The sequence below is a fragment of the Homo sapiens genome, chromosome 10 (genome assembly GCF_000001405.40).
Source record: "Homo sapiens chromosome 10, GRCh38.p14 Primary Assembly".
NCBI classification, from domain to species: Eukaryota; Metazoa; Chordata; class Mammalia; order Primates; family Hominidae; genus Homo; species Homo sapiens.
In genome coordinates, this window is record NC_000010.11 from 64,029,077 (window position 1) to 64,042,883 (window position 13,807).

The 13,807-nt window shown below is 43.1% G+C and overlaps 2 long non-coding RNA genes across 6 annotated transcripts in view, besides 5 other annotated features; one reads left to right on the forward strand and one right to left on the reverse strand.

Moving 5' to 3' along the window:
• Positions 1 to 13,807, forward strand: part of LOC124902439 (uncharacterized) — an 820,351-nt gene that overhangs the window by 156,488 nt on the left and 650,056 nt on the right. For 2 of the 5 annotated variants that reach the window (XR_007062164.1, XR_007062162.1), the window contains one exon: positions 5,749 to 5,913. The exons of 2 other annotated variants lie outside the window; for them this stretch is intronic. This is a non-coding gene — a long non-coding RNA (uncharacterized LOC124902439). Of the gene's footprint in view, positions 1 to 5,748; positions 5,914 to 12,343; positions 12,391 to 13,807 lie in introns of those variants that run through there. One more of the 5 variants, XR_007062163.1, reaches the window with a different exon arrangement.
• On the reverse strand, positions 243 to 8,228 carry LOC105378333 (uncharacterized). The gene is made up of 3 exons (XR_946014.3): positions 8,057 to 8,228; positions 5,909 to 6,002; positions 243 to 462 (listed from the first exon to the last, which is right to left on the reverse strand). It is a non-coding gene; the product is annotated as an uncharacterized LOC105378333 (long non-coding RNA).
• Positions 12,046 to 12,095: an enhancer, noted in NCBI's record as "active region_3445". NCBI's record gives its function as "activates an Ori minimal core promoter by ATAC-STARR-seq in GM12878 lymphoblastoid cells {active_cell/tissue: GM12878}" and the evidence as "EXISTENCE:reporter gene assay evidence [ECO:0000049][PMID:35858748]".
• Positions 12,106 to 12,195: an enhancer, noted in NCBI's record as "active region_3446". NCBI's record gives its function as "activates an Ori minimal core promoter by ATAC-STARR-seq in GM12878 lymphoblastoid cells {active_cell/tissue: GM12878}" and the evidence as "EXISTENCE:reporter gene assay evidence [ECO:0000049][PMID:35858748]".
• Positions 12,276 to 12,355: an enhancer, noted in NCBI's record as "active region_3447". NCBI's record gives its function as "activates an Ori minimal core promoter by ATAC-STARR-seq in GM12878 lymphoblastoid cells {active_cell/tissue: GM12878}" and the evidence as "EXISTENCE:reporter gene assay evidence [ECO:0000049][PMID:35858748]".
• Positions 12,376 to 12,455: an enhancer, noted in NCBI's record as "active region_3448". NCBI's record gives its function as "activates an Ori minimal core promoter by ATAC-STARR-seq in GM12878 lymphoblastoid cells {active_cell/tissue: GM12878}" and the evidence as "EXISTENCE:reporter gene assay evidence [ECO:0000049][PMID:35858748]".
• Positions 12,639 to 13,139: an enhancer, noted in NCBI's record as "H3K4me1 hESC enhancer chr10:65801475-65801975 (GRCh37/hg19 assembly coordinates)". NCBI's record gives its function as "activates a minimal SCP1, AML or CMV promoter by ChIP-STARR-seq in naive H9 embryonic stem cells {active_cell/tissue: H9 hESC(naive)}" and the evidence as "EXISTENCE:reporter gene assay evidence [ECO:0000049][PMID:30033119]".

Below are 13,807 nucleotides of genomic sequence, written 5' to 3' on the forward strand. Positions count from 1 at the left end.
ATTCAACGTCCATTTAAGCATTTTTGAGCTTGTGTGAGCTTTAGAATTGAAGAGAAATCCCTGAGGATGCTTATGCAAGAGCCTAGTAAATGTTTTTTTCTTGACATATAAACAAATATTTTTTCTAGCTATTCGTTTCCAGGCACTGTGCTAGGAGCTTTAGGCTTAAAGATAAGTAAACAGGAGCCAAAGTTTTATGGAAAATTTTTTATTCAAATATTTCAAATTTTGTAAGTGCTGCAATCAATAAATATTCTAATTGTCATGGTTCCACTGAAGCCTTGTCTATGTGATGCTGTGATCAGGAGAGAGGCTCGAGGTTGTGGCGGCTCAGCTGCTGCTTCAAAGGAGTATGGGAGTTTGTGGATGGAGAAGAGAGTGGTGAGCTTTGCAGGCAGTGAAGACAGGATGTGCTGGTACAGGACTCTTTAATTGTCATGACTTCTTGATTTTCTGGGGTATCTTAAAAGAGACTTTGGCTCAAAGATCTGGGAAATTTTATTAAACTTGCGACATCTACCAGACCAAGAAGTTAGACAGAGCTGCTAAACCTAACTTTCACAAATATTCCCTGAACCCCCATATGATTATTTTCTCAATCTAGCCTCCTCCCATTACTATCACAACTCTCCTAATGAAACAAGCAGGAGGAGAAGTTTCTGACATTTCCTTCTCCAGAGGCCTTGTCTTCTTTGCTAGTTTATGATTTATAATTGTACATCAAAGTGCTCTGAATATCCCAAGTTACCTAAAATTAACATATCAGTTCACTGGGTTTGATACTATTGGAGAGATGGGGAAATATTCTCAAGCAATTGGTTGAAATCAAGGACATAAAAAGAAAGGCATTATGCAAATATTTGGTTATTAAGATTTTCTGCCTAGAGGGGATAAAGTCAGATAATGGGAAATAAATGAGATCAAAAGTTTCCTCTATGTTTTAATATTAACTTTCTTTAAGAGTAGTATTTGGCCTCTTTAGCATCATATCTTTATCAAGACAAAGGAACAGAAGCATAAGAAAGCACTGAGTGCTTTGGGGTGATATGCGGATATGGAGTATCGGGAGTGGACGTGAGGTAGGGGTGGGAGGGTGGAGTGGAAGAGTGAGGCCAATGAAGTAGACGAGTTTGACTATGGAGCACTTTGCTTATCATATGGGGCTTTTCTAATATGAGTAATAATCTGTTCCCAAACATCTAGTGAAGGTAATAACTTTAAAAATATACCTTTCAAGTTACAAGACAATTTCCCATTCATTATCTCCCATGATCATTACAGCAATTTGGAGGTGGACTGGTGCCTGCCCTAGGTCACACAACAGAGACTGAGATGCGTCTTTCTGAAGGCATGTTCTCTCATTTACTTGCTGAGAACAATTGGGATGACAGACCGTGAATAACTTGTTATCTTTGGGCATTGAGATTATAATGGATAATCTGGTTGGTAATCAGATTTTTTTAACTTGATGAAACTTAATTCTGGGATTACTGCATCTGACTTGAAGAATTTAGGCCACTAACTTCAGTGGGACTATGTTTCTGCTTGACTGGGGCTTTGATGGCTTATTGCCTGGGCATTGCAGTTTCTGGGCACCTCAGATATTAATTGAGGGAGAACCCAATGACTCTGGCTCTACAGGAATTTTTTTTAAATTTTATTTATTTATTTATTTATTTTGGAGACAGAGCCTTGCTCTGTCGCCCAGGCTGGAGTGCAGTGATACAATCTTGGCTCACTGCAACCTCTGCCCCCTGGGTTCCAGCAATTCTCCTGCCTCAGCCTCCCGAGTAGCTGCGATTACAGGCACCCGCCACCACGCCCGACTGATTTTTGTATTTTTAGTAGAGACCGGGTTGCACCATCTTAAGACAGGCTGGTCTTAAACTCCTGACCTCAGGCAGTCTGCCCACTGCGGCCTCCCAAAGTGCTGGGATTACAAGTGTGAACCACCGCATCTGGCCTGGCTCTACAGGACTTTTTAAAGAACCTCTATCCCCAAGTCGCATATGAATGGTCAGTCTGGGGGGATTCCATGGACTTCAATTATTCTTTACTAAATCCTCCCAGGGGGAGGCCTTATTCATTTTTTCCTTAGTCTTTTTCTTTGTGGTTTTATAAATTTCCAGTCTATGAACTTTAAGTTGGAGAACTGAGCTGAAAAAGAATGCTTAGATCTGATTCTCATTTTTTAGCACTACAATAAACTATTTGTTCTAAAATAGCTTTATTTTCTAAGTCTTATTCTTCCAACAGGATTGTAAGTTACTGGAGGGCAAGGACCTTTCTTCTAGATCCTTTGTTTTTCACATATTACTTTTGACCCTTCTAGCCTTTATATCCTGATTTTAGAAAGGCTCAAATAAAATCTTGCATCATGTGGAAACGGCAGAATCGGGTAGTTAAGAGCCTAGCTCTGGAGGAAGATGGCCTGGCTTTTAAAATTACAACTTCATCACTTACTAGCAGCATCATTGTAAGGAAATTATGTAACTCTTTGAGTTACATGTATATATATCAAAGAGTTTTATATATATATGTATAGTTGTGGGATTAAATTAGATACTGCACTTGGCACAGTGCTTGACACATAATGATCAGTAAATGTTGGTGGATCATCATAAACAATCATTGTCTTTGTTTTGTGCTTCTATCACAGAATACCACAGATTGGGAAATTTATAAAGAATATAAGTTTATTTTCTCACAATTCTGGAGGCTGGGAATCCAAGCTTAAGGTGTTATAGGACTGTCTACTTAGTTTGGCTAAAAATGGGGTCCTCGTCAGATGACCATGAAAATTTAGGCTCGCAGACACTTTGAAGGGTGAGAAGGGCAGGGTTTATTGGGTGAAAAGGAAAGAAAGGGAAACAGGGACTGTCCGCAAAGCCAGAGTCCTGCTAGGTGCCCTTCCCACCTCGAAGATTAAATTCCAGGTTCCATCAGGAAGAGGAGGGGCACGAACTTCCCAAGGCTCCACCCCAGCGTGCACTCCTCCCAGTGCGCAGGCCAGTTGGAGTTTCTCTGGGGACCCCTTATCACCTGGCTGTCTCAAAGGTATTGGCATCTGAGGTCTGGTGAGGGCCTTGTGGCTGCATTCTTATACGGCAAAAGTTGGAAGGGCAAGAGAGAGTTAATGCACTCCTGTAAGCCCTTTTTATATGAACGTCAGCCCATTTAAGGGGGTGGAGACCTCAAGTTCTAAACACCTTCCAAAAGGTCCCACCTCCAAACATCATGACATTGGGATTAAGTTTCCAACACATGAATTTTGAGGGACACATTTAGACCATAGTGGTCATCATCTTTTTATAATCTTCATCATTCTTTTCCCTGGGGATGGTTGATGATAATGCAGTTAGGTACCTCTATAACTTCTTAATTAATTTTGATTATTTTCAGCCTGGAAAGAAGTTCTTGGTAATGTGTCACAGGGCTCCAATGGCTTTATACAGTTTAGATAAATTTAGAAGGCATCATTAGTCAGTTAAGGATGACCACAAATGTAGGAAGATCAGAAAATATAGAGCAGATAGATTCTAAGTTTGAAATGATGAGCTAAGACGGCAAGGCTACATTTACAGAGACAAGTATGTAGAAGTGTATTCAAGTTAAAGGTCAAACATACAAAAATAAAATGGAATATATACAGCACTGGACAGACCTGGCTGAATAGAAGTTAGTGGGAAAAGATCTTGGGAATTTTGTTGATCAGAAGCTGAGCCTGAACTGCTGGTGTAGGGCTTTTATTTAGAGAACAATACCAACTTAGACTACATTAATCAGAGTGTAGTGTTCAGGTCAAGGGAGGTAACTGTCCTGTGGTCTATCATGCCAGTATGAGCACACCTTGAAATATTATGTTGAGGTTCAGGTGCTTTTGCAATCATCTTTTTGCCATTTTTATTAAAGGTTTGAGCTTTTTAAAATTAGCTCTGAATAAAAGTAATCAGAAGGGGTGCAGATTTGTTAAATGAGCCAACACCACTCATCATTTTGTAGCTGATAACTCTGGTGATCAATTATAATTTAGAGGGAACTTTTTTTTATGCCTTTCTCAAGAGAGAGTCTTACTTTGGGTTTGACCTGAAAAGCCAGTTATGTCACTTTATTTTCTGCTTAAGCATTAGGCCAAGTTTCTTTTTGACCTTTTCATTCTCATTGTGTATTACCTCTCCTCTATTTTTCTCTTGCCTCCTCTGCCACTCAGTACCGCATCTCTCTTCTGTGCTTCCTCTCATTATGTGTTCTCACTGTGCCTGCTACTTTAGCTCTTAATTTGATGCCTTTTTATGATCCCCATCCTCTCCACTCTCTCTATTTAGGGGTTCCCTTTTCACTGCAGCTGGTTAGATAATTTTACCTAGGATTTTCATAGCTTAATGATGACTCATATAATTGTATACTTTTCAGATTGTACATTAAAAAAATACAGTGACAGTCAGTGATCTTGCCAAAAGGAAACTAATGGCAAAACTTTTGGAATTTAGAGCAGGCTGGTGCAGGGGGGATGTCTTTTATTAGGGCCCCATCATCAGGGACAGTGCCTGGTGATTGTGGTAGATGAAACAGACAGAGTGGCATTTCAGTACCCACAAAGTTCCTTTTTGGGTAGGGCAGAGGGCTTGACAAGGGGTATTAGAAGTTCATTGAGCAATGAGGGGCCAGGATAGAAAATTGGGGTTGTTGAGGTTATTTGGCTCTGCTTTTATTCTTAGACCAGAAAGTTCTGTTGACATCTGGACTTGATCTCATTTAGCTGGGGGGTGGGAAGGGGGGTTCTTCTGGAGGCAATGACTGGACCTCATTTCCCAGTTCACTGATGGTGACTAATTCCGGCCATGCCAGAGAGAAAGAGGAACAGTATTAGGCAAGTGGAACTTTTAGAGACAATTAAGTCAGACAGTTTAAGCTGCAACTTAAATGAGTTGGAGAGTACTTATTATTCCGTGCATGTTCACGCCTTAACTGACCTGTGGCCATCTCACTTCACAGCCATATGATTCTCATTCTCTTCTCTAGTGAGGGAACCTGGGAGACCCATGTTGCTTTTTTTTTTTTTTTCTGCAGAGCTTATACATTTCTCTTGGATATCTTCCATGACTCTTTTTTTTTTTTTTTTTTTTTTTTGGGCCAGAAATTATGTCAGTTATATTACGGGGGGTGATTTATGTAAAAGATGTTAATGACTTAAATGGAAGAAATTTTAATAGAGATACTAACGCAGTTGTAATTACTTTAGTTATTGCAAAGCAAAATGTAGCAAGACAACGACTTGAAGTATTAACCAGTGCATTTTCACAGCTGCATGTCTTTCTTATTCTTTAGGGAAGGGAGGCCACAGAAAGAATGATTGTAAGAAAAAGGAGTCATTTCTTGCTCTTGAGTTTCAAAATATAGTTTTGGAACCCAAGGCAGAGATAATAGTGAGAGAAAGGCACAAGAGACCAATCAAATATTCGCCCTGCCCTGGAGAGGGGCCTAGGAGAGCTGAGGGAAAGTCAGGGGACCCTAGGAGTCCTCAAGGCTGGGAGAAGGGAAGGAAGACTGAAATTTGGTGTGAGAGGTATGGCCAGGAACCAGGCGGGGAACACAGATGTCAGCCTCAGTGGAGGCACAGTAGAAGGTTAATGACATCCTGGGACTCAGCTGATGAGTTACAGCTCAGGGATGGCAGTGTGGATGGATGACACTCAAAGCCCAGACACCTCAAACGTCCTGACACTGTGTAATCTCCTCTGTCCCCAGCCTGCACCAGATGCAACTCCTATAGAAGAGGGAAATCCTGAACTGACTGAGCGAACTCTCAGAATTGACCATGATTCACATTTTTACCCTTGACGGAAAAAGGATTCAAGGAACACATTACATTTCTGTTTTAGAAAAATAAAGTTGTATTTTTGCATACCTGAATTTGTTCTCCTGACTGTAAATGCTTTAGGAAAAGGCACTGGAGGTGAGTTATTGACTGAATGGGCTGTTTCCAGGTTGGAAAAAGAGCGCTGAAATGCAAGTCAGGAAATTCAGAATTTAGTGTTGGCTTTGCTACTGCTTGACCTTGGGCACAAATCTTTCTCCTCTGGGCTTCTCTGTCTCCATTTATGCGACTGGCCTGGACTGGGGCTTCCTAGCCTAGTGGCAAAAGTCTCTTGGAGGGCCTGAGGAGTTTTTCTAAGGCATCTGCATCTACATATGAACCAATCATTGCTGTAGATGAAATAAGTAATATGCCTTTGTCCACAAGTACCACAAATTTTAAAAATGTTTGTAGATCTATTGTGGTCAATAAATGTGATTAATTCATTTAAAAGCACCACTGGTTGGTTGTGGTGGCTCACGCCTGTAATCCCAGCACTTTGGGAGGCCAAGGTGGGCGGATCACGAGGTCAGGAGTTTGAGACCAGCCTGGCCAACATGGTGAAACCCCGTCTCTACTAAAAATACAAAAGTTAGCTGGGCATGGTGGCATGCCTGTAATCCCAGCTACTCAGGAGGCTGAGGCAGGAGAATTGCTTGAGCCTGGGGAGGCAGAGATTGCAGTGAGCCGAGATTGCACCGTTGCATTCCAGCGTGGGTGACAGAGTGGAGCTCTGTCTCAGGAAAAAAAAAAAAAAGAAAGCACCACTACATTTTGATTCTAGTTTATAATTCTTCTCAATTGAGCAAAATAAAAATTGTAACTGCTATTTAGACATTGTAGAGGAATCCTTCTAGTCCAAATTTTAGTCTAAAATGTGGTTTCTGTGGGACTAGAGGATTCCTAAAGAACCATTCTAAGCCTCACTGGCCACAATCCTAAAATAGAGTTTATGTTCATTAGGGATCAATAATTACTGATACATAATTATGCTAGAAATGGTTGATTCTCACACTCTGACAGTGGTACTAATTGATTTATCTCAGAAATATAAAGAATCAATAATAGAGGAGATGTTTTAATCACTGCATCCAAATAATCTTTTCTCTGATACTAAAAGTCACCCTCCATCTATCTCTAGAAGGGTGTAATGGTAAAAACTTAGGTTCAAATGTTGCTCCTTCTGCCTATTTGTTGTGTGTCCTAGATGAGTTAACTAACCTTTCTGAGCTGGATTACTACTATTCCTTAAAATGAAGATAAAAGTACTCATTACAAAGGGATGTTGTGAAGATAAAATGAGATAAACTGTGAGCCCATTATGTGGTCTGGCATAAGGAAAATAGTCAAAAATGTTTGTTCCCCTTAAAGCCTTTTGGAAAGCTTATTTAATGTAAAGGTATAAAAAGGCAAAATAAATTAACACTGGCTTAAATATAAAAACGTATAATTTAAACATTGAATAAGCAGCAATTAAAGCACATGTTCACTTGCCACCTCGTCCAGGGCTGGTTTGGAATCATCCCATTCACTCCACGTAATGAGCAATGCGGCTTGACCGCCTGGAAAGCAATTCGGCACCGGGTCCTGTCTCTCTAAATCTCGGAAGAGCTTTCACCTGTTTTCGTCCCAAGTCTTGTCTTTCTTTCTGAGCAAGTACTGAGAGTGTATTGTTCAGCAGCCCCCATTCAAGTGCTGCCAGGAATGAGATCGTGGAGGTGCCCTCTATTGTGAGGTCTTGAAGTAGAACTTGAATGGAGAGAATGTGTTTTCAAAATAATTTAGTTTGAATGCATTTTCACTTTGGTGGGGAGAGGAAGCACAGATGGCTGAATCAGGACATGTGCCAGTTCTTTCCTCACACCAGGCATCCAGTGAATGCAGGCTGTGGGAAAATGAGCTTTAGGGGAAGGAGGAAGTGTAAAAGAACCCAGAAAGTGCTTGCATGATGTGGTCCCTGGTCCACCATTAAAAACAGCTGTGTGGGGGAGTCAAGGGGCTTTGCTAAGAGATTAGGCTGGCTTCGGAAATATTTGCTGCATTGCAGACCCCGAATAATAGAGAAAATTGATCTCTATTAGTGCCTTCAGGAACTGTTCTATTGGAGAGAGTGGCTTGGATGGGAACAACAAGTGGTTGGGAGACCAGATCCCTCCCCCCAGCAAGAAGCTTGCCAGGATGTAGGTTTCCCAGGCTCACCTGCTATCCTCCTCCAGCTCTGCCAAGCCGCCGAGTTCCTGCCTGGATGTCACTCCCTGAAGCTGTCAGGAAAGTTGTTTCACATTTCCTGATCCTCTGATTTGCGGATCCCAAAGCAGCAGCTTCTTTGCTTCCAACTGCTTCATTTACTCCTTCCCAAACACTGCTGCCTGCACTCCAACTGAGTTACTGAAGTTCTTTCAGCTTCCAGGGAGCAGACAGGCTCGGGTTGTCTGAGGTTATGGGAGTTATTGTGGGGATACATGAGCGGGAGGATAGAAGACAGAAAGCCTTTCAGTAGCCAAATAGTCAGCCTCAAGGAACAGAGCAGATGTTTCTCACTCAACGGTAGCGCTCCGTGCCTGGGTTAGTTTGCTAGGGCTGTTTTAACCATGTATCATAAACTGGGGATGTAACAGACATTTATTGTCTCTCAGTTCTGCAGGCTAGAAGTCTGAGATCAAAGTGTCAATGGGGTTGCTTCCTTCTGAGGATTGTGAAAGAGAGAATTTGCTCTGTGGCCCTCCGCTAGCTTCTGGTAGTTTGCTGGCAATTTGGGGGGTTCCTTGGCTTATAGATGCATCACCCCAATCTTTGCCTTCATCTTAACAGGGCGTTCTTCCTGTGAGCACACTGTCTCCAAATTTCCCCTTTTTATAAGGATACCAGTCACACTGACTGTTGGACACTATTATGGGTTGAATTTTGCCACCTCAAAATCCATATGTTGAAGTCCTAAACCCCACTACTTTGCAGTGTGGCCTTATTTGGCTATAGGATCTTCACAAAGGTAATCAAGTTTAAATCCACTTTTATTCTTGTCCCCCGAGACTCAGTCATAGCCCTGAATAAGCATATCCTTCCTCAGTCTCTCTAGGGATTGTAGCTTTCCTGCTACTGAGTGTCTTCTGTTTCCACTCTTCTCTGTGACTTGTGGTTTCTGCTGTTTTATGACCTCCGCATGTTGAGTTTTCTCTGTGTGCCTTTGGCTTCCATATCACTCTCTTGATTTCTGACTCTTGGAAGTATTGAAGCTCCTTGAGAATGTCATTGGTTTAGTCGCTTCCTGTCCAGCATAGAGCATCCTGCCCGGCAAGGCTGTCCTGTCAGGCTACTCCCGAGGCCTGCTGGTTTTTGGCAGGTGGCTTGGCTCAGGCACCAACCTCTTGACCAATCAGCCTTGGCCGTGATAGTGGGTCTCACAGAACACAGTATGGTGACCTTGGCAGAAATCATTTCCCATGGCTGCTTTTCTCAGAAGGAGGCTACGGACATGTGGACGTGCTCAGCTTTCAAAGTGGCTGTGTGACTGGCACTGTGCAAAGCCCTGGAGTTCAGTGGAAAAGCTGTAGTTCCTTCTGTGTACAGTTTTTGCTTAGGTGTGTTTGTTGCTTGGCCCATGTAATGCAGGACTCCCTGGCCTGGGCAGATCTCATTTCATGATTCTCCTCACTTTGAGAAGCTCCTAACAGAGCCATCACGATTTTTTGAGTCTACTGGTGTGTTTAAAAATTTAAAAATGACTAAAGCAGCTTACAGTTATGGCAGTATAAATGTTTACATATAATTGCTTTTAACTCCTTTGGCTATTCATAAAAGAATTACAGTATTTATAAAACTATTACTCATATGCACTTCAGTAAGGGGACACAAGCTTACAGGGTTGTAGGATGACTGTCTTTATTCTGTCTGCCAGAGGATATTGTGACCATATGTGTGTAGGTTTATTTGGGGATACCATCAAATGGCTTAAGTTCAGGACCTTTGTGAATGTGACTCCAAACCAAATGGTGCTTCTATCTACTCCAAATTTGCTCCCCTTTCATTCCTTGAAAGGATTTGAGGCCAGAGGTACAGGCTCTTCAAGGATTTCATTAAACTTATGTGATTCTGTATGTTCTCATTTCAAAACCCAGTTAAATTACATAAGTTAGGTGGCCTACATTCCTTTAAAAACTCCCTTTGACTTGATAGGGATGAGTAAGCAACATTCCGTGCCTAACACTGTGCGAGGGTTCCCCAGAGAACACGAAACTAATCAAGGTGTAGGATGTTGCTTCTACGAAGTTCCCAGTTGGTATAACTCATTGGTCATAATCACCTTGTGTTGTGTGAGCTTTTTTTGTTTTTTCTCAGCTGTGGGTTGTAGGCATTTGAGTGGTACTGCCCACAGCCTGCACCTTGCTGGCCCTCCTCCATGTGTACTGATTCTAGAATTCCTCCTCGACTTGTGGCTTTTATGGTTTCCACGTGCCTTTCAATAATGCCGGCTGTTTTCCCCTCCTGCTGCTCTGCTGGTGTTGCCTAAGGTGCATGTGGCCTCCGCGAACCGTGAAGGCTTTTAAAGAAACTTTTACTTTCATAATGTACTTTTTAGTGTTTTCAATTTCACAGGCCCATTGCTGTTTGGGAAGCAAATGATTTATGAGGAGTTTCCAGAGAATTGATTTCTTGAGATCTGGGTGATCCTTGGCAACGGGATAGGGTTTTTCTGCCTAGTTACTGCAGGGTAAAAACAGAAGAAAACAAATTGAAAGGCCTGACTTGAGAGAAGTTTTATTTATCTGGCTTTGACAGATCAAATAAAATCAGTGAAATTTAGTTATTTTATTTTTGGATTCTTGGAATTCACCCAGATACTCCTGATTGAAGAAAAGGATGTTTTTTGTTTGTTTTTGGAACAGTCACTTTTCTGTATCAGAGAAAATTTGAAGCTGAAAAGCTTTATCTGTCCTTTGTCATCTTTGTGTTATTTAAAGGATTGGATTTTTTTTCTATTTTTTAAAAAATGAGTTATTACTGCAAATTCTAGAAATTTAGGATGGGCAATTTATTTTATTTTTTAAAAAGTTTATAATTGACATAACTGTACATATTTATGGGGTACAACATGTTTCAATAGTTGTATACATTGTGAACTGATTAAATCAGAGTAATTAGCATATCTATCACCTCAAACATTATGTCTTTGAGATGAGAACACTCATAAACCCCTCTTCTAGCTTTTTTATTTTTAAGACAAAGTCTCACTCTGTCACCCAGGCTGGAGTGCAGTGGGGCAATCTCGGCTCACTGCAACCTCTGCCTCCTGGGTTCCAGAGATTCTCATGCCTCAGCCTCCTGAGTAGCTAGGATTACAGGCGTCTGCCACCATGCTGGGCTAATTTTTGTGTTTTTAGTAGAGACGGGGTTTCACCATGTTGGCCAGGCTGGTCTCAAACTCCTGACCTCAGGTGATCCACCTGCCTTGGCCCCCCAAAGTGGGATTACAGCTTCTAGCTATTTTAAAATATACAATATGGCATTGTTTAGTCATCCTGCTTTGCAGTAGACCACCAGAATGCATTCCTCCTAACTCACTGTAGTCTCTCATCATCTCCTCACTCACCACTCTCCATCCTTTGGTAACCACTATTCTACTCTCTACTTCTATGAGAACAATGTTTTAGATTCCACATATGAGTGAGATCATGAGATATTTGTCTTTCTGTGGCTAGTTATTTCACTTAATGTAATGTCCTCCAGGTTCATCCATGTTGCCACAAATGACAGGATTTTATTCTTTTTTATGGCTGAATGGTATTTCATTGTGTATATGCACACTATATTTTCTTTATCGATTCAGGTATTGATAGATATTTAAGTTGATTCCATATTTTGGCAATTGTGAATAGTGCTGCAATGAACATGGGAATGTACATATCTCTTCTACATACTGATTTCATTTCCTTTGGATATACACCCAGCAGTGGGATTGCTAGATCATATGTTAGTTTTATTTTTAGCTTTTTGAGGAACCACCATACTGGTTTCCGTAATGGCTGTGCTAATTTGCATTCTCACCAGCAGTGTGTAAGGGTTCCCATTTCTCCACATCTTTGTCAACACTTATCTTTTGATTTTTTGATAGTAGCCACTCTGACTGGAGTGAGGTGATGTCTCACTGCAGTTTTGATTTGCATTTCCCTGATGAGTGATGTTGGGCACCTGTTCATATAGCACCCGGTGCCTTATTTTGTACATTTGGTGAGGTCTTGGTTCCCTGAATATTATTATTGATACTTGTGGGCATGTGACAAGTCTGTGTGTCGAAAGACTAGGTATTTATTCCAGTCTTCAAAGACTGACGTTGTCCCCGTCCTTCCAGAGCCTCTAAGCCTTCTGTTACCGTCTCTGAACCTCTTTCACTGCTGCTGTTTCAGCACTAGATGGCACCCTAAGCCCACGTTTGCCACAAGTCCGTGGTTTGTGTGTTGCCACATTTTCAGCACTAGAGGGCGCGCTGAGCCCAGGTGTGCCTGTGACCTTGTTTCCGAGGGACCTAAAAAGCTTCGGTGAGTTTCCGCCTTAGGCTGGGGCAGGTCCAGATGCTCCATTCCGGCGCTGCAGAGTTCTGCCTAGCTCTGGGCTTCACTTTGGTGGGTCCAGCACTGGGCTCCAAGGCAACGTCTTGAGGCTACTTCTCTCTCCTTTCCCTAAGCAGACGCTGCCTCTCTTTGTGCCCGGCGGCCTGGGGTTGGGGGAGGGATGGGACGGCAGCGCCGTGGCCACCACAGCTGACCGACGCTGGGCCACACCCGGAGTCCGCAGCTTCCGAGACCAGCCCAGCACAGGGCTACTCCCCAGGCTCACGCGGCTGTGGCCTGCCTGCCACCGAGGCAGCTGGCGCCGAGGCGGCCCAGAGCACGAGGCCGCCACACCGGGCCGCGGGTCCCCCAAGCGACTCCGTCCGCAGGCTCCAGCCTGGGGTTATCTGGTTCTGCCACACGGAGGAAACCAGCCAATGTCGGATTTCACAGTGGCTCGTGGGGGCCAGTGCTGAGTTCCAAGACAAAGTCCTGCACTGAGCGCTTTCCCCTTCCCCAGCGGACGGAGTCGCTCTCTGCACTGTGCTGCCCAGCTTTGGGGGCGGGATGGTGGAGGCAGCAACGTGGCCACCAAGGCTGACCTTAAGGGGGATCGCACCCACAGTGCACGGCTGGGGCCGGCATATCCCCGGCCTGCCTGCCTCTAGTTCACGTGTGGCCGAAGCCCCTGGAGACGCCCTCAGCCGTGCAGGCCGGACATGAGCCCATCCCACCAGGACCAAGGCCTGGCACCCGGGAGGGTCCAGACGATCCATCTGCGGGCCCTGGCCTGGGATGGGGACCTGGAGTTCTGCCCGGTACCAGGCTCCACGTCAAAATCCTGCACTCACTCCACTCTCCCTCCTTGAAGCAAGCAATGCCTCTCTCCAAGCTTCCAGGCTTGGAATTAGGGGAAGGGTGAAGCAGGCAGTGAGACTCTGTCCTTCCTAGCCTCTTCAATGTGTCTTTTCTTATTATTGTGCTAAAACCAGGCACTGAGAGCTCTTACCTGATTTCCTTAGCTCTTGTGAAGGTACCTTCCCACATGGGTACGTGTTCAAAAGGATGTTTCTATGGGAAATGATCACTGGAGTATTCTTTTTGGCCACCTTGCTCCACCCCCAATTTTTGAAGACTCTTGGACTATTACAGCCAAAAGGGAGCTTCAAAATCACTTTCTTTGGTTTCTAGCTTTTTCCTTATGAGAGATAGCCATTGCTACCCAGAACTCTGTGATTGGAAAGCTTTAAGTCTATCAAAAAATCGTTGGACAAATTAACCAAATGCATGCAGAGTTGCTGATCTAACTTGTTACCAAGAAGAATAGCTTAACAGAAAGAAACTTTTTCTAGTGGGCTTGTAAGGGTTGATGACAAAAAAAACTAGAAAGTTTTAAATTATTATT